This window comes from Homo sapiens, chromosome 2 (genome assembly GCF_000001405.40).
Source record: "Homo sapiens chromosome 2, GRCh38.p14 Primary Assembly".
Taxonomy (NCBI): Eukaryota; Metazoa; Chordata; class Mammalia; order Primates; family Hominidae; genus Homo; species Homo sapiens.
This window is the reverse complement of record NC_000002.12, coordinates 99,422,998-99,442,540: the sequence shown is the minus strand read 5'-3', so window position 1 is coordinate 99,442,540 and position 19,543 is coordinate 99,422,998. Positions and strand designations below refer to the sequence as shown.

The 19,543-nt window shown below is 36.4% G+C and overlaps 1 protein-coding gene across 26 annotated transcripts in view, besides 1 other annotated feature; it reads left to right on the top strand.

Annotated features, from left to right (window-relative positions):
* REV1 (REV1 DNA directed polymerase) overlaps window positions 1-19,543 on the top strand; it is an 89,726-nt gene that overhangs the window by 47,662 nt on the left and 22,521 nt on the right. For 6 of the 26 annotated variants that reach the window (NR_135651.2, NR_135650.2, XM_047444723.1 and 3 more), the window contains 6 exons: window positions 72-224; window positions 3,231-3,940; window positions 6,600-6,707; window positions 8,093-8,209; window positions 12,596-12,701; window positions 18,261-18,389. Coding sequence is in view for 21 of the 26 variants with exons in the window: in XM_047444723.1 (XP_047300679.1) it covers window positions 72-224; window positions 3,231-3,940; window positions 6,600-6,707; window positions 8,093-8,209; window positions 12,596-12,701; window positions 18,261-18,389 (1,323 nt within the window). In the remaining 5 variants the exon portion in view is untranslated. Of the gene's footprint in view, window positions 1-71; window positions 225-3,230; window positions 3,941-6,599; window positions 6,708-8,092; window positions 8,210-10,600; window positions 10,801-12,592; window positions 12,702-17,641; window positions 17,769-18,260; window positions 18,390-19,543 lie in introns of those variants that run through there. The other 20 variants (NR_135653.2, NR_135652.2, XM_047444721.1 and 17 more) reach the window with 8 other exon arrangements.
* Window positions 1,977-2,646: an enhancer, noted in NCBI's record as "OCT4-NANOG hESC enhancer chr2:100056357-100057026 (GRCh37/hg19 assembly coordinates)". NCBI's record gives its function as "activates a minimal SCP1, AML or CMV promoter by ChIP-STARR-seq in naive H9 embryonic stem cells {active_cell/tissue: H9 hESC(naive)}" and the evidence as "EXISTENCE:reporter gene assay evidence [ECO:0000049][PMID:30033119]".

The following is a 19,543-nucleotide window of genomic DNA, read 5'->3' as shown; positions in this document are numbered from 1 at the left end:
ATTGAATATTTTTCATGAAGCTCATTGTCACCAAGTATGGAACTCTAAATTGGTGTTGCTTTTTGTTTCAGCATCAAAGCTGGACGACTCCTCTCCTACATTCCATATCAGCTGTACACCAAGCAGTCCAGTGTGCAGAAAGGTCTCAGCTTTAATCCTGTATGCAGACCTGAGGATCCTCTGCCAGGTCCAAGCAATATAGCCAAACAGCTCAACAACAGGGTGTAAGTTTGTCTAGTTGGGGATTACTGCAAAGCTGGTTGGTTTTTTTTTTTTTTTTTTTTTTTTGAGATGGAGTTTTGCTCTTGTTGCCGAGGCTGGAGTGCAATGGTATGATCTCGGCTCATTGCAACCTCTGCCTCCCAGGTTCAAGTGATTCTCCTGCCTCAGCCTCCCGAGTAGCTAGGCTTACAGGCGTGTGCCACCACGCCTGGCTAATTTTTGTATTTTTAGTAGAGACGGGGTTTCACCATCTTGGCCAGGCTGGTCTCGAACTCCTGGCCTTGTGATCTACCTTCCTTGGCCTCCCAAAGTGCTGGGGTTACAGGCATGAGCCACCACGCCTGGCCACAAAGCTGGTTTTTAGCAGTGAGCATGGCCCCTGCTCTGTTACAGTCAGACAGAAGCAGATACAAACCCTGGCCATTCACTTATAATAAACATGTTGAAATATGTGTGTATGAGTGTCTTATCTAAAAATGAATTATTTTTATAATGATAATTTCATAAATGTAAGTAAGTTTTTACAGTCATACTGGTTTCTCACCTTAAACTAGTGGATCTTAATTGTTAATAAGTTTTTTCATGGATTTTTATGAAAGTAATTATTTCCTCACAAGTAATTTGCTGTATTGCTTTCTCAAAAATGGAACTAACTGCACCAGCTATATTTTTGTTGTGTTCCATGCATAGAAAGACAATGAAAATGTTAATATTTCTGGGTTATTTTTGAAAAATTCAAAATTCATAACATTCTAAATATGTAAATATATAAATGGAAGTTTAGTTGGTGACCCTTGGTTATAGAATTGAAAGTGAATCTAGACTATTCCATGTGGCTGCTTTTTTTTTTTAATTTAAGCTTTTAATTGCAACCCTGGATAAATTGTTTCACAATTAATTGGTGGGTTGCCTTACCTTGTATATCAGGTGGTTCATTATGGTTAGCCTTCTCTTTATTTATTAAATTGCTTGCTTTGGGAGTTGGATATATTTTTTTTCGAAAACACCAGGAGTCTAATTAATCTGAGAGGATCCAGTATCACTGCCTTCTGTAATTTTTGTTGTCATTTGTTAATTTAACTTGTACTCACAAGCATATTCAAATATTTTTCATGTTACCTGTAGCTTTTAATTTTTTTTAATGTGCTATCAAGGTATATAGCAAATAATACCAGAAAACCTTTTCACAGAATACGTAGCTTTAGCTTTCTTTTCTTACCCACATTAATAAAAGTAGAAAATAGATATGTTTTTTCAAAATCTTCTTTGTGACACTTTAGGAAGAAATTACCTTTTAGATTTTACTTCTTAATACATTTATGCCATTGCCTAAAAAATGTATCTCTACCCGTGATATTTCCAGTACAGCTACTTTGCAAATGTCCATTTGTCTAGGCTGAGAAACTATAGTACAGCAAGAATGTATGTTAACAATGTATTTTCCTGCCAATATATGGCTTTCTGTTGCATGTGTTGCTATAATGCATGTAAAGGGTCTGAATGTTTTTGACACAAAACTAGATGTAAGACTTTCTGACGTACATCACTTTTGTTGTTTTCTGGGGTTTTTTTGGGGGGTATATTCAGTACATTTTGTACATTTCTTTGAAATGCTCATCTGTGACTTCTTGCTCCCTTGCATTCTGTTTATCTCAAGAGGCTGAACTTTCTCTGCATGTGACAAATTAGGTTTTCTTTTTTTCTTCTTTTAATCATATCTACTTTGTCTTTTTCCCCATCACTGGCATGATCATCTGTGAGCATGGCATCTACTCACAGTTGCCTGTCACATTCCATATGATGTTTAGCCAGAGCCTGAGCTAACCCAGAAATGGGTGATCATCCAGCTTGTGGGACTTTTCTGTGTAGTCAGGCTCTCATTACTAATAAACCAAGTTGGTATTAGGGTGAGGGGCTTTAGGTGGAACCTGATAATACTGTGGTAATTTCACCTGTGGCTTACTACTCTGTAGGGCAGCCCTTCATCTGGAGCCTGCGCTGTAATTGAATTAATGCTATGGACATTTGGACATTCCTAAGTAGAATGAATTACTGCTTTGTAATTCAGGTTTTTGTTTTTGTTACTTAGATGATTCTCGTGAATGCATTTCTAAACAAACGTCTAGAGGAGCCAGGATGTGACTTTAGCATAACATTTGTCATGGGTTCTGCATTTATAAAGCTGTCATCAGGAAACTTGGTCCAGATTGCCTTGTACCACCCTGGCATCTAAATATGCATTTCTTAGAAATGAAGTGCAATTTCCCTTCTCAGTAAGGCAAGCGTCCTTATTTTTCTAGGTGTAAATTTTACTGAATTACCCCCACACATTGACATGGCTTTACTTTTTGTCTATTTGTGCAACAGTTAGCTCATTAATAGGTTAATCAATATAGTCAGTTTTTTTCCTACTGAAACCATCTGGTTTCGTATTAGATTTAATGTGTTGAATAGTACCTTTCATAAAAACTAAAACTAGGAATAAGAATTCAAGTAAGGTTTTTAAATCCATTTTTATGAAAGTTATTTGTAGTATATTAATTCAGCAGATATTTATTGACCATGTAGTAAATGCCAAGCACTGTGCTTCAGAACTGGGTATTTACAGCTTATAGATTCCAATTAATTTTTTATGGGAAAAATAACTGAAAAGTTTTTTGGGTTTTTCTTCAGCCATGAGAAATGTTCTATTTTATTTCTTCTTTGGGACTATCTGAAGTGAAAATAAAAAACAAACAAAAAACACCTAAAGGGCTGTTAATATTCTAGAATTTTTCTAGTTATCTTGCTACTTTTGCAAAGAATGATCTTTTGTCAAATCAGAATATAAAGTTTGTGGTTTAAGTTTCAGGGTTTTTTTTTTTCATTGTCAATATTCAATATAAGAATTTTCTGTTTTTAAAGGGGGAAATACCAAACTGTGTACCACTAAGAAAATGATGAAATGAAAAAATTGTTTTAACCTAAAAGTCAGATATTATTAACTCAAAAATTTTTTCCTGCTTTAGAAATCACATCGTTAAGAAGATTGAAACGGAAAATGAAGTCAAAGTCAATGGCATGAACAGTTGGAATGAAGAAGATGAAAATAATGATTTTAGTTTTGTGGATCTGGAGCAGACCTCTCCGGGAAGGAAACAGAATGGAATTCCGCATCCCAGAGGGAGCACTGCCATTTTTAATGGACACACTCCTAGCTCTAATGGTGCCTTAAAGACACAGGATTGCTTGGTGCCCATGGTCAACAGTGTTGCCAGCAGGCTTTCTCCAGCCTTTTCCCAGGAGGAGGATAAGGCTGAGAAGAGCAGCACTGATTTCAGAGACTGCACTCTGCAGCAGTTGCAGCAAAGCACCAGAAACACAGATGCTTTGCGGAATCCACACAGAACTAATTCTTTCTCATTATCACCTTTGCACAGTAACACTAAAATCAATGGTGCTCACCACTCCACTGTTCAGGGGCCTTCAAGCACAAAAAGCACTTCTTCAGTATCTACGTTTAGCAAGGCAGCACCTTCAGTGCCATCCAAACCTTCAGACTGCAATTTTATTTCAAACTTCTATTCTCATTCAAGACTGCATCACATATCAATGTGGAAGTGTGAATTGACTGAGTTTGTCAATACCCTACAAAGACAAAGTAATGGTATCTTTCCAGGAAGGGAAAAGTTAAAAAAAATGAAAACAGGCAGGTCTGCACTTGTTGTAACTGACACAGGTAGATACTTATTAAAATTGTCTTCTTAAGAAACAGTCATGCTTGATCATTTTGCTCTTATGCTATTATTGGTATTTCTGGTCAATATGAAGTTCTCATAAAAGTCTCTAAGTATGTCAAATCATGTAAGTTACAGTAAGCATAACATAGAAAGCTAATTTATTAAAATATTTTTAAAACAATTAGATATAATTGTGGCTGACTGAAAATTTTCAGAGAATTTAAACAGTAAGATGGTTGGGATTCTGAGCATTCATTCCTCACGTAGACCTTATCAGTTGGTGAAGTTTTGAACTGTGTTAATATAACATCTATCCAGTGCTTAAACTCCTGTAAGAATGAAATTGGTTTGATAAGAGTAATTGTTAATTTCTAGAAGCTTGCATCATAATGATTTTTTAATTTTGACATAGAGCTGTTGTAATTAACAGTGGTAAACTTTCAGTGAGATTATTTCACATCTTAAGTACATTGGTTCATTGTATTTTGTTTTTTAATACTTTTCTTGTCATCAAAAACAAATGCACACACAGTAGCATACTGTTTTTCTGGGCCAGTCATTATAAATTAGTATCTGGTTTGAAATTTTAGTTCCTTTTACAGATTATAGGATTTTTTTATGGGGAGAGACCTCAGAGATTAATACTCTATAATTTATAGCTGTGGAAACTGAGGTATAGAGAGAAGCTCATGGTTCTGTCCTAGAAAGTGATAGAGACTCTATGTGGGGTGTTTTCTGTTATGTTTTACTGAGTTTGATGTATTCCTATGTGCTTTTAGTCAAAAAATGCTTTTTGGTATTTATGAAATATTTCAGAATAATATAGATACTAGATTATCCTTACATCATGTCTTGGCCTTGTTACCTGAAGGTTATTTAATTCTTAATGCTTCTAAGAACTATGATTAATTAGTTCTGTGAATGGGAATAAAATGAGAAATTTTGTTATTGTATGAAAGCATTTGGTAGATACTGGCTTATGCATTCTGTACTACTTGAATGTTTAAAAGCGTTATTTTGAGTTGTTTGCATTATGTTTATATGATATTTTGAAAAATACTTTTATACAGCAGAATTGTGATTAAGATTATTTTATGAATCATTTCTTGAGATAATATAGAGGGTAGTAAGGAAGTATCTGGCTTTGGAGTTAGATAGTTTAGCATGAATCTAAATCCTTACTCTGCCACTCTTAGGCTGCAGGACTATGGGCAAGTTAGTTCACCTCTCCGAGTCTTAGTTTTCTTTGTGAATAGAAGTGATAGATAGTCCATGATGTTTGCCTCATGGGGTTGTGAGCTTAAGAATACATGAGCAGGCTGGGCACAGTGGCTCATGCCTGTAATTCGCACACTTTCGGAGGCCGAGGCGGGAGGATTGCTTGAGCCCAGGAGTGCAAGACCAACCTGGGCAACACAGTGAGACCGTGTCTCTACCAAAAAGAAAAAAAAAATTAGCTGGGCGTGGTGGCACGCACCTGCGGTCTCAGCTACTTGGGAGGCTGAGGCGGGAGGATTGTTTGAGCCCTAGGGGTTGAGGTTGCAGATCGCACCACTGCACTCCAGACTGGGCAGCAGAGTGAGACCCTATCTCAAAAAAAAAAAAAAAACAAAAAAAAAGTTGGGGGAGAATTAGGTACATGCTATCACAGTCACAGTTTGGTAAATGGAGTGGTCCAAAACTGTTAGGGGATATCTGTTTTTGGAAGCCTATTATAAAGACTGACCCTCAGTACTAATATTTTTAAGCCTGAGAAAAACTCCTTTATGAGATCAGAACTTTTTACAAGCCCAGGGTTCTTTTTCCAGGATTTGTGTATCTTAGAGGACCAGACGAACAGGCTAAGGATGAGACTGATAATAGAGGAAAGCTCTGCTTGTGCCTGGATTAGGGTTAAAATGACCCTGATGAATCTCTTTGTAGCTCAGGATGATTAGAAGCTTTTGTCCTTAGGTGAGGACACTCACCTTTATCTCCTTAAATGTGGTATATGTCATTCAGCTCTGATCTTTAATAGTATTTAATGGCATAAGGATAAAAATGTACAGATTTACATTTTATAGACTGTTTTTAAGTACTTAGAACAGCAACATGGTAGTTTAAAGGCTCTGAAATCAGACTGCTTGAGACAGAATCACAGCTCAACCATTTAATAATAGGCTATGTGACTTAAACTTTTAGTCTACAAGATGGAGATGATACGATTACCTACCTCATAGTTGTGAGAATTTAAATAAATACATACACATAAACCTCTTAACAGCAGTGCCTGACACCTACCAAGCACTGGATAATAGTAGTCACTTTTATTGTTGTTATTTTATCCAGGCGCGTTTGTAGATTGCATGGAATAGTGATCATCAAAAAAAGTTTTACTTAGCTTCATGTAACTAAATGTATGCCAACACCTTTGTATTTTTATAAAATAATCAGCACAGTGAAATAATTTTAAGATGCACTTTTTGACTAATTAGAGACTTAATTAAATTTGGCTTCTCTTGAGGTGATAGAAATAATCTGTACTCAATTCTGGTTTTTTAAAAAGACTCCATTCTGGGTGTAAGCATGTTTTAAATATAATTTCTAAAATTAACTAGACCTGATGTTTTAAATAGTAAAAATTAGCTTGGGGTTTGAATGCTGTCTTTTTCCTTCTAGGAGATATGTCAGTATTGAATTCTCCCAGACATCAGAGCTGTATAATGCATGTTGATATGGATTGCTTCTTTGTATCAGTGGGTATACGAAATAGACCAGATCTCAAAGGTCTGTATTCTTGCTTATGTTTTAAGAAAACTGATATATTGTTATAAATATATATTCAAAGAGATTACAAAATCTTTTTTTAAAAAATTATGATTTTCCTTGGGAAAATCGGTTCTTCCAAATTTTCTATATTCGATTATCAGGGAAGGTATAGGGAAATTAGAGTTTTTCTTTCTCCCTATAGGGATCTTCAGGGAAGAATATTCATCTTCAGCTGAAGGATATGTCATCGAAGACTAATGTAGGCAGGATCTGTATTGGGCATTTTCTAAATTTTTATCTGTATTTATTCCTTGTTAATGAATGGAAATTTTATGGTGGCTCTTGTCTTTGAGACTTGGGTCACTATGCTTTCTCTTGAGCAAATAACTTGATTAACTGTCCTGATGCCCATGAACATCCCAACTTTTTGATTGTAGGATAGTTTTGCATTATTGAATATTGCTAAAATGTGTTAAGTCGTCTGGACAGTCTTTGTCTTAGTGAAATTGCAGATATTTGTGAACTAGTCAGTATTTTAAAAAGCATACATTCTGGGTTTTTCAGTGTTTACCTCTGTCTGAAAGAGATAACTTAGTGTTTTCTTCTGAGAATCAATTCTTCCCTTAAATAAGGAATCACTATGGCACAGAAGCTGCTGTGTTAAAACCAGGACTTTATTTTTGTCATGGGTAGTAGTTCCTCAGCTCTGAAAGGAGTTTTTAGAATGTTAAATAATTGATTTTCATAGAGTAGCTTTTTAATGCATTGTTGATTTTATTTCTTGGTCCTCAGAATAATGCATTAAGTAAATATATATTTATCCCTGCTATTGCTTTACAAATTTATAGTAATCTTGTAACTTAACATGCATACAAAAGGAAATGATACAGGAAAGTAAGTTTATACTAAAGCAAAAATTGAGGGGCTGTATGCTCATGTTTGATAATGTGGTAGGTCAGATTGTGATTCCTATGCATATGTATTTAGTTTCTGTTGCGTAAAATTGAGAGATAAGTATAGATGTTAACTCTAGAAATACAAAAAAAAATTTAGTTTTTCTTTCCCCACTACTTAAGTCTGAATCTAGACTCTTGAGTTGCCTCTTTCCTACAGTACGAAATCAAACAAAAACCATGGAAGGCTGAGTTGACTGCTGCTTTCAGGTTGAATAAATGTATCAAAATGGTCACAAATAATTGGCTTTTCTGGAGGTGCTAAGAAACTTAAATGACATTTACATGGTGATTGATAATCTTTAAAGTATTAGCTTCTTTAAGGATTAATGTCTAAGTAAAGCTAAAGAAAAAAAAGGCATGTTTTTAAAATCCTTTGAAAAATTTTTGCTTACATGTTGTTAACATTCCTGTACCACATACAGAAATAATTTAATATTTTCCTCACAGGAAAACCAGTGGCTGTTACAAGTAACAGAGGCACAGGAAGGGCACCTTTACGTCCTGGCGCTAACCCCCAGCTGGAGTGGCAGTATTACCAGAATAAAATCCTGAAAGGCAAAGCAGGTACAAATGAGCTCTCTTTGAAGTCTTAGTGCTCCTGTGGATGGCTTCTGGATTTTGCTATTTGGCATGGTTGTTAATAGAAATGAGTGCAGAGTTGTAGCAATTAGCTTTTTCATTCAGGGGTTTTAAGGATGTCACTGTTAGGTTTTGTTGAATTGGAGGGTGATATTTTCCTGAAGTAGAGAGTGAAGAATGTTTTACAAGATATGATTGATTTGCTTTGTATAAATTTAGATTGGGGATAAAAATCATGGGCAGAATTTAAAGAAGCCTCTTTCTATTGTGAGAGTTAATTACTGGTTATTGTATCACAGTAAGAATGTTAAAGTTTGTCTTGCTCAAGATTTGTATGAGGAAGTAGAATAACAAACAGTAGAACTTTTAATTTATTGGAATTAAAAGTAAACACCAGTAATCATTCTCCATATGCTTTAGTGAACCTGTTATGAGAAATAACCTTGTTGCCTCTCTTGACTTTTTAATTTTGGATATTAATAAGCAAAATCATAAGTTGTACTAGTCATAATACTTATTAAGATTTTCATGTGTCTATTGCTTTTTTCCCCTGAGTAAATTCACTGAGAAATGTTTTCTTAGAAATTAAATTTTTTTTGGTAACTGATTAGTTTTCTCATGGTTGTTTTGCAAAGCCAAAGAGAATTTTTAAAATTAGTTTCTCAGAAATATATTACCCAGAAAGTAGTCAGAAGTTAGATATACAGTGAAATGGAAAGCATGCAGTTTAGTTTTATTGCAGTTATTTCAGTGCCCTTGTCAGTTATAAAACGTTGGGCTTGTCACAATGACTCCAATGAAATTAAGGCAAAAGGAAAGCCAGCGAACATCTCTGAGGACCTTTTTTGGGATTATAGTCTTTTTGTTGGTTTTGATCATCTGTTTATGTGGTCTTAAGTATGAAATAACATAATTGCAGATACATATTTATGCTTTGTGTGTACATTTATTTCCAAGTTTTATAAAGGTTTTCTTGGTCTTTAAATCTTTTCAGAGATTTTTGAGATTCTAGAATTTTGTGTGTCATGAGTAGATGTGGAGTAGCTGTTACTGAACTTGTTGAGATTTACTTGTATTATGGTATAGGTAGTTTCTTAGGTATTGGTAGTATGGTTTTTGTGGTAGGTTGGTTTTTCTTTTTGTATTTTCTGTGTGCTATTAAACAGATGAAATCTTAAGTTCTAGAAAATAAGAAATAGCTTAAGGAAGTACACAATACTTGTCATATATTAGGCATTTATGAAATACTAAAGAATGCTGAAAGAAGAAAAACCACCATGTATATACTTGCAGTAGCATCTTCAGTGCTCAGAGTCTCTCTGGTAGGTAGTCTTGTTACACACGTCCTTTTATCGGCAGCCTACATTTAAAATTTTAACCTTGACAAGCTCACATTCCTTAGGAGTAGCAGAGAGCTAGTCCTCTTTTGTCTTTTCTTCTGTTACAATCTTACTATAAATGGCTTATTAACACAGTACTGTCATTGGTTACTTGTCTTCATCAGTTTAGTCACCTAATTTTTATAACATTTTAATGACCTTCTATAATCACATCCCCTTCACATCTAAATGTGGGTGGTAAACCAGAAGGTAATATTAGGAGAAATATTTAAATTTCACTTGCCATTGAAAATTGTCAAAAGGAGATTGTCCCGTCACTAGAAAAAGATTATATGACAGTTTGTATTTTATACTCTTACTTTAACTTGATGTCATTTACTTTTATATCCTAAGCCTTTTCACGTATTAGGAGCTCACCAGAATATTTGCTACATATAAAATGAATAGATTATCCTTTATTATAAAGTTTGATTACAACTAAGCTTGTGCTCAGAACTTTTTTCAGTGCTTTTGTTCCTCTTTGCTTGTTATTCCCTGATCTTTCTTTCTCTGGGTCATTATCAGACATGGCACCAAATATAAAAATATTGAGGATCGGTTTAGGAATTAGAATCTTTGGCTTCTGTGCACTAGCTTTGAAAAAAAAAAGATCAGTTCTAATGTTTGGCTTATATGTCTAGACAAAGTATTAGGACAAATAGCATCCTTAGTCCTTTTTGAAACTTTAGTTTCTTAGTTGTCGTATCCAAAAACTCTTTAATTAGCCCCGTGCAACCAGGGTATCTCATCCATCCATGACTTCTTTTGGAGGCTGCTTCCTGAGCAGTACTCAGTAGTCACACTTCTCATTGATGATCTCATTGTTTGGAACAATTTATGCTCCAAATTTCATGGTTGGGGCCTTTTACCCCTTCCTGGATTTCCAGGATACAGATGTTTTCTATCCCATCGACAACTTCAGTTTTCATTCTAAAGAACAACAGTTTTAAAAATCGTATTAGTCATAGATTTATTCTCAGCGATTTCTTTTTCACAGACTTGGGTCCTGGCCTCTGATTTCTCCAACCGTTCCTCCACATTCTCCATGTGCCCGTCTAGTTTGTCAAGTTTTGATGAGCAGTTCTCTACTTTGCCCTCCAGTGAGGACAGTGTGTCCCTGCATTTCCCTGAATCTCACATGAAGCAACTCACTCCGCTCGTGGAGGGACCCACGCACTCTGCTGCACTGTGGAACAGGTCAGCCAGCCCAATGGAGAGGAACACGATGGTGCTGCCTCTCAGGCCAGGGCACTGGGGGCGCATGGACCACAGAGACTGTTCTCTCCTCAAGCATAAGTTTTCTGTTATTTTCAAGACAATATCTTAGATAACTAGCCCTTCAGATACCAAAGTCAGGTAATTCTCCAACTTGTAAGGCATAACTCATGGTTACACCTTGGAAAGACAGTTGGTTGTGGCTGTTCAAGCTTCAGCACTCCTTTTTTTGGGGTCTAGTAGCACCCTCTGTTGAAGTGTGATACTGACAGTCCTGAAATTCTTACAGTTTTTCAGCTTAGATGAATGGACTATTAAAATTTATATTTACCCTTTTAAAACCCTCCAGAAACACTGGGTAATCTGCTTGGGATTCTGTCTTTAATTTGTAATAGTATAGCTAGCATACGTTATTCATATGTCAGAAACTAGCTCACATTACACACTCTGCTGTTTTGAAGCAAGTAGGATTTGACCCGAGATGTTAGTCAGTTTGATTTGCATTTATGCTGTGTATATATGGTTGCCGAAATCCAGAAATGCTTGTATGGGTTGCATAGTTAGATGAAAGATGCTGATGATTATTGGTCAAACCAGGAAGAGTTGTTTAAGCCCATGAAGCCAGAGACTTTGCCAGTTTTCCTGGTGGTGCATTAACGTGGCTGACTTCACAGAACAGTGAGTCTGAAATAAACAAAAGAGAAATGCTGGGTTTCTTAGTTATGTGTTGTTACAGTGCACTCAAAATAGATTTGTCTGGAATAGCTGAAGTGATATATTTTGGGTTTGTTTTACTCATGGTACTTTTGTTTATAATAGTAGAGATGTGGCTGAGGTTGTGGTTTTAGAATGTGATTTTTTTTTTTACAGCATACTCTTCCTGGAACCTAATAGTAGTATCCCAAGAGACCTATGATGAAGTTGTGTTTTAATTTATTTCTCAATTACTAGTGAAGCTAAAGGTGGCAAAGGAAGTAAAGTGGCATGCAGCCAGTAGGCTCTCCAGAGTGTGTGGTTTTGTTTTCTTGTGTAAAGTTGTAAATTTGGTTTGGATATTAAGAGATGTTGGTAAGCCACACTAGGCTCCAGTTGTGTTCTCTAAAGCATCGATACTCTGATCACACTTGAATGTTTTTAATTGAACATGCATTATTAAACCAAAATACAATTACCTGTAGCGGGGGATAATGTGACATGTGTACAAAAGAAAAAGCTTGAATTTAGGATGAAACCTCTTCATGTTTTGTGACCTACTAAATTATTGTTTGATCAGATAGATGGTAGGAATTTCATGTTTGTTGTACCCGTTAGTTAGCTTTAAGTTTTACAGATAGTTCTTTTAGGAAACAGCAAAGAATATTCAGAGAAATTTATATTTTTCGTTAACTTTTCCCCACTACCGAGAGCTGTACAGTCCTTTTAAGGTTATAAGAGGGAGTTCATCTCCCTGATCACTTCTCATCCATGTCCACCTCCAGGGACTGTGTGTTATAGGATATTTTATATTTATCTTCTGGTGTATTTAAAAAAAAAACAAACCTCCCAGGACACTTTGAATTTATTATAAGTTTTTATCTGCTGATGAAGAATATAATGGAAGCGAACCATTTTAGAGTTTTCTTTTATTAGATAAGGAGATAATACCAATAGAGATAACTGTATTTGGAATTTACTGAACATTTTTATATGAAAGTAATGGAAAACAAATTTCTTGAAAAAGTGAGGGAAAATCAGTTTATAACATATAACCATTAATTTTTTTTTATTTTTAAAGCAGATATACCAGATTCATCATTGTGGGAGAATCCAGATTCTGCGCAAGCAAATGGAATTGATTCTGTTTTGTCAAGGGCTGAAATTGCATCTTGTAGTTATGAGGCCAGGTATGTAGAAGTTGTGTGTTACAATTCTTAATGAATAATTTGGTTAATTATTTTTATATAATTTCTTGAACTATAATCTTTTGAAGTGGATTTAAATGTTACAGACGTGTTATGAGGTTTTAGCCTTAATCATCTCATCTATGCCCCCCACAACCCCCCACCAGTGCTAGATAACTTTAAACAAACAGCTTACTAGTTCCCTGATGAGAACCAATAGGTCATGTAGTAGGAACCAAAAGAAATTGGGGATCATCGTTTTTACTGTCTTTTGAAGAGTGAAATAAAAGAATTAGATTTTTTTTTAATGGAAGAGGACTTTAATATTTATTCCCTCTAATCTTTTGTTTTTATTGCTAAGAAAAAATCTTGTAATCCATACTTCCTGATACTCAGTTTTTTTAGTGTTAAAACCCATTTGCCTATGCAATTATAAGTAAATAATTGAATTATTGGCATTCTTAATATCTCTTCACTTAAAAGTGTTAAGAGTGTTGTCAACTTGTTAGCACCAACTTTTTGTATAGGTCTTTATCTTATAGTGATCTGAAACCATAATTATAATTGGCTGTTTCAGTATAGGAAGAAACACACACACACTCATATATATATATCTTCCTCATAATTTAAAAAACCGTTTTGAAATAATTGGAATAGTTGTAAAAGTAGAGGGAGTAATAATTAAAAAGAGAAGTCTTCATTTTTTTTTCCTTGTCAACCAAACACAGACATTTTTACCTATATCACACAGCAAGCCCTTACACATTGCTGGCAAGTGTTAAAGTATTCAATAATTTCAAATCGAAACAGAGTCTTAGATCAGTTACATCTTTTTTTTTTTTTTTTTTTTTGAGACGGAGTCTCGCTCTGTCACCCAGGCTGGAGTGCAGTGGCACCATCTTGGCTCACTGCAAGCTCCACCTCCCAGGTTCATGCCATTCTCCTGCCTCAGCCTCCCGAGTAGCTGGGACTACAGGTGCTCGCCACCACACCCGGCTAATTTTTTTGTATTTTTTTAGTAGAGGCAGGATTTCACCGTGTTAGCCAGGATGGCTAACTGACCTCGTGATCCATCCGCCTCAGCCTCCCAAAGTGCTGGGATTACAGGCGTGAGCCACTGTGCCTGGCCTAGTTACATCTTTTTAGTCTTGATTCAGAGTTGTGGCTATTCAGGCATCTAATCTGAAGAAAAAATATTTGAGCTCAGCATCGTCTAATCATAATAGTTTTTTTTAAATTTGCTAATTATTTTATTTAAAGTATATTTAAGTTAAAAAGCATTAAGTTCAAACGTGCATGCTTATATTTTAAACTGTTTTCCATTCATGACATGCCAAACTTTTCCTCCCCAGCTAACTTTGCCTTTCTCATTAACAGAATTATGTTTTAATGGTTTTCATTGTCACTTGATGCTGTGGCCAAGGAATTGAAACTTACTTTAAATGATAATTAAGTCAAATACAAATACGTTTTGAATTGTTATACTGCTTTTTATTACCACAGGCACTCTAGAGCTGAGTTTATGTTGTGCTCAGTAGGCTAGTCTCTTTTTCTCTACTAAGTTAATGAATGGTGGCCTGGACTTCAGATGGCTAGACAGTTATGTGCAGTATCTGGAGGGTGTGATGAAGCCCAGAAATATTCCCAGTCCTTGAATTTCGCTAGTTGGTAAAATGCGAGCTCCGTTTACCCTTGCTAAGGCTGCCTCTGCAGGGTCTCTCCCTTTATACCTTCATACCCAGTCCCCCACCAAGATGAATGCTGGCTGGGGAGCAGGGCTGCCTCCAGGTGAAAGTGTCACCAGCTCTGGTGGCTTTGGACTCCAGGAGCCACAATTGTGTGTAGGCACTAGGCTTCTGTTGGGTGTTTGGATGGTGCATTTATATTTACCCACGGTAAATATAAATTTACCTTTATAAATTTGGTCAAGCTTCATGCCTTGCAAAATAATTGGGGTGACTATATGAGGACAGAATACTATATAGTGAGCCATTCAAGTGCCACTTAAGTGCAGATGTTTAAGAAGATACATAAAGTGATGAAAATGAATTTAACTTGAAGAAAAAAAAAATGCAGCCGTAAGATTTTTGTCCCTTAATTGTGATTTTCTGTTTTCTAGAAGGCTATTCCTAGTGAAAGTTTCTAGAAAATAGTTTCTGGATACTTGTTTTGTGGCCATCCAACAGGTTATATTTTCCTTATCTGAGGAAAATTTTTTTAACAATTTGCATAAGAGAAATGTTACTGAGTTTGGAGTGGGGACTAGATTGTGGGGATGATCTGCTCAGTTTGATGCACTGGTGAGTTTTCACTATACATAGCTTAATAATGGGGCCAGCAAAGGATAGAATGTGAATATGAAATGGTAGAAATACAAAGTAGAATGTGTATATGTGGGTCACAGTTTGCACTGCTGTTAGTAGTTGGCCTATACTTACAGTAGAGAGCAAACTTTATATGGAATCAGTGAGAAGGTAGATTGTACATGAATAGGTAACGATACACAGATATCCTAGAATCACAGATCTTTAAAGTCATATAATTTCTAAACCCCATTTTCTTGTGCTTTTGTAAGGACCCACTACCTTTCTTACTTTATGGATGTATTTTAGTATGTAGAATGGACAGTGACAGTGGTTTGATGGCAATTTTTTTCCCCCAGAGATGAAGTCTTGCTCTTTTGCCCAGGCTGGAGTGCAGTGGTGCTATCTCGGCTCACTGCAACCCCTGCCTCCCAGGTTGAAGCCGTTCTCCTGCCTCAGCCTCCCGAGTAGCTGGGATTACTGCTCCCGCCACCACGCCTGGCTAATTTTTGTATTTTTAGTAGAGATGGGGTTTCACCATGTTGGCCAGGCTGGTCTTGAACTCCTGACCTCGTGACCCGCTCGCCTTGGCCTCCCAAAAGTGCTGGGATTACAGGAGTGAGCCACCGCACCCGGCCAGCAATTTTTTAATATTGTTGAATCCAACACCAAATACAACTGTCTGAACAAAGCATATTGCCAGACAGAATATGTCCTCTGTGCTTTAAATGTAGGAATAAGCTGTTTTTGCAGCATACACTTAACGAAGTTTTGGTAATTTATCCTGTATGGGATTTTAGTTGTAATAGATGAGTCACGGTAATGAAGAGACACTTTGAGACACTTTGGACTTTTTTGTAATTGTCTTTACTCATTTATTTTCTATGGAACAAAGCTCATTTCCCAGCCATCAACTCAAGGTATTTGGCTTCCCTTAGTATGGCAAACCTAAGGCAAACCAAAGGAAAAAGGTTTTCGTTTTTTGTTTGTAACTTCCTTATAGTGTCTAATGGCTCTTAAACAGTTTTCTCTGGGTACATTTTACATGAGTACATAAGTAGATGTACTATATTTTACTAAGTAATGTGCTTCGGAAAATTTTTGTGTAAATTAATGTTTTGAAAATGAAAATATTGTAAATATAAGAACATGATATTTATAGGGATTATAAACACATTTTTTTTTTTTTTTTGAGATAGAATTTCGCTCTTGTTGCCCAGGCTGAGGTGCAATGGCACGATCTTGGCTCGCTGCAACCTCCACCTCCCAGGTTCAAGCGATTCTCCTGCCTCAGCCTCCCGAGTAGCTGGGATTGCAGGAGTGTGCCACCATGCCCGGCTAATTTTTTTGTATTTTTAGTAGAGACAGGGTTTCACCATGTTGGCCAGGCTGGTCTCAACTCCTGACCTCAGGTGATCCATCCACCTCGGCCTCCCAAAGTGCTGGGATTACAGATGTGTACCACCGCGCCTGGACTATAAACATATTTGGGTTTCTTTTTTTGAGATGGAGTTTCGCTCTTGTTGCCCAGGCTGGAGTGTAATGGCGCGATCTCGGCTCACTGCAACCTCCACCCTCCAGGTTCAAGCGATTATCCTGCCTCAGCCTCCCAAGTAGCTGGGATTACAGGCATGCGCCACCACTTCTCGCTAATTTTTAATTTTTAGTAGAGACAGGGTTTCTCCATGCTGGTCAGGGTGGTCTCGAACTCCCCCTCTCAGGTGATCTGCCTGCCTCGGCCTCCCAAAGTGCTGGGATTACAGGCATGAGCCACTGTGCCCGGCCTTATAAACACATTTTTAAAAAATGTGTTATCTTTAATTTGTAAACTCAGCTTTTACATGCTGAATCTATATATCTGGCATAATTATTACCTGAAATTTACCCTTTTCAACACCAGACCTTTTTTCTGCTTTCTGATAAAGTTTCTAAACTATTTTATGTTTCTACATATATGTCTAAACTGTTAGGTATCTACTTTCTTCATTAGTGGACAAAGCCTGTTGACCATAGGTCATCCTTTTCTAGGCAAGTGCAAGGTTGTCCCCATGGAGGTCATGGAGTTTGCTTTATTTGCCATCCTATACCCAGCACCTCGCTAAGTCCTCGACACATCAAGAATTGTTTTCTTTACAACTCTGTCATTTTCCTTCCTCTTAGGTATTTCTTATCTACTAGGGACTTAGCACTGAGACCATTTATAATATTACTATTTTTATAAACATAAAAATGCATGTGATTTTGCATCTACTGCTGAGTAACTTGGAGGACTCTTTCTTCTTGGCTCTCATGGTCTGGATGTTGGGAGGGTGCCAGAGGCCTATGAGTAATTGGCAACTGTTTGTATATACGTTTCTTAAAACAAGGCACGTCTCCATGCTGTGTAGTAAATATTTATTGAACATATATATAGAATAACCATTATCCTATTATATAATATGTAATTTGGTGAAACATTGCTTTATTATTTTGCTTGTTTTTACTATAATTTTTTTTCTTGATTCTTTACAGAGTGATAAAATAGAATTTTACTAATTATGTATAATTCCATAATTATAGTTTTGTGGTGAATGCTCCAAATGTCAAAGGTAATGTGGGGCACTGAGACACACAGATTTAAAATTTACCATTTTCAATTAGGTCCCTCAAAGTTCTGGAACCCTGGCTCCTGCCCAGAGTGATGTCCTACCATGTACAATGCTGTTGGCATCTCAACCACTGTGGAGCCACTTCAGGAGCATGGAATTGGTCAATTGGGAATTGGGTGGTAATAGGATGAGTACATTTTGTCTGTTTGTCACATAGCACTGTTTTGTGTAGTTCTTTTGTTTATATTCTTTGTCTTTGGGGGATGAACCCTGGCCAAACTGTGCCTTGTATTAGGGGAAGAAAACCTCTTTTTGACAGCATATTCCTGCTCTGTGGTGGTTGTGATATCACCAGCATATGGCATGCTGGCATCTCTGCAAAGGGGCCAGAGGTATGAGTTTTAGGAGAAAGCTTCAGATACAAGAGCCAAACCTGGTATTTTAATGACATAGTTGGCACATCTACATGTGTCATTTACACTATTCAGACAGTTGTGACTTTTGGGGGAAAACAAGGCTGTAAATTTTAATGCCTATCTTTAATCCCTAATGAGAATGGAGTTAAGTGGAAATTATAAATTAGTGGCATGGGGAGATATCAACATATTTGATAAATATTTGAGTTGAAAACTTCCTAGAATAACCTCCATTGTGTTTTGTTCTCGCTCTAGGCAACTTGGCATTAAGAACGGAATGTTTTTTGGGCATGCTAAACAACTATGTCCTAATCTTCAAGCTGTTCCATACGATTTTCATGCATATAAGGAAGTCGCACAAACATTGTATGAAACATTGGCAAGGTACAGTGTATCAAACTGTCATTTTGTGTCTGTGTTTTCCTTCTTTTAGCTAATAGTAAAGACAGTTCAAGTTTTCTTTAGGATTGTCAGGATCACTTTTGTTAGAATTTTATCTTCCAGGAACCACTCCTCAGCATCCCAGTTTGAGACCTTTCTTTGGGCAATTTCCAGGTAGCTCAATCTCAAAGGATAGTTTTGTATTGCCAAAATTGTTCATGTGCTTCCTTGGTTGATGTAAGATCTGATTATTTGCTTATATTACTTCTAGTCTGTGGTTCTGGTTTTCTTCCCATGGAGCCAGATAGATGAAGGATGGAATTTTTTAACCTGGTTTTTCTCTTTTATTTCATTTTAATTATAGTTTTGTTCAAAATTAGAACTGATGGGTTGATAACAAGTGGAGACACTTTAAAACCTTTATCTTCTTAAAATCATTGGATATGCCAAAAGTTAGTTTTCATAAAAGTGGGTCTTTAATAATAGTTTCAAAATGGTTGATGAGTTGGCTTGAGAAAAGGTGATTAATTTTAAAAATATTTAAAATTGTAGATGTATTTAAAAATATTTAAAAGTGTAGATATATTCCATATTAACTCAGGACTCAAATTTCTTAAAAGTATAACCAGCCTATTATGCTGTAAACCAGGGGTCAGCATAGTTTTCTGAAGGGAGCCAGATAAAGTTTCTGTCACTCAACAGAAGTTCTCAGTTCTGCGTTGTGAATGGAAAGCAGCCACGGGGAATGTATATGAATGGGCTTGGTGTAGTTCCAGTAAAAATGCATTTACTGGATGTTAGGCCAAGGTTTGTCAACTCCTGGGCAGTATTAATGTTCCAAGAGATAGACTTCTTGCCTCTGTTTTCACCTCTGCCTCTTCCTTTTTATGCGTTAATTTGAACACCAGTATCTGCTAAGTACAGGTGACTGCTAGATGCTGCTAGTCCAGAAGGGAATATCTAATCCTTGCCCTTGTGGGAGCTTGCTTTAGTAGGAGAGAGAGAGAAAATGTGAAGGAACTGATTATTTCCTGGCGTCATTATGTAGGAGTGAGTGCTGAATGATAAGACACTTATTATAGCTATTCTATTAACACAAAGAGAACACACTAATTAACTTTCCAGTTATAAGTTGGGTAACTAAATAAATAAATCCC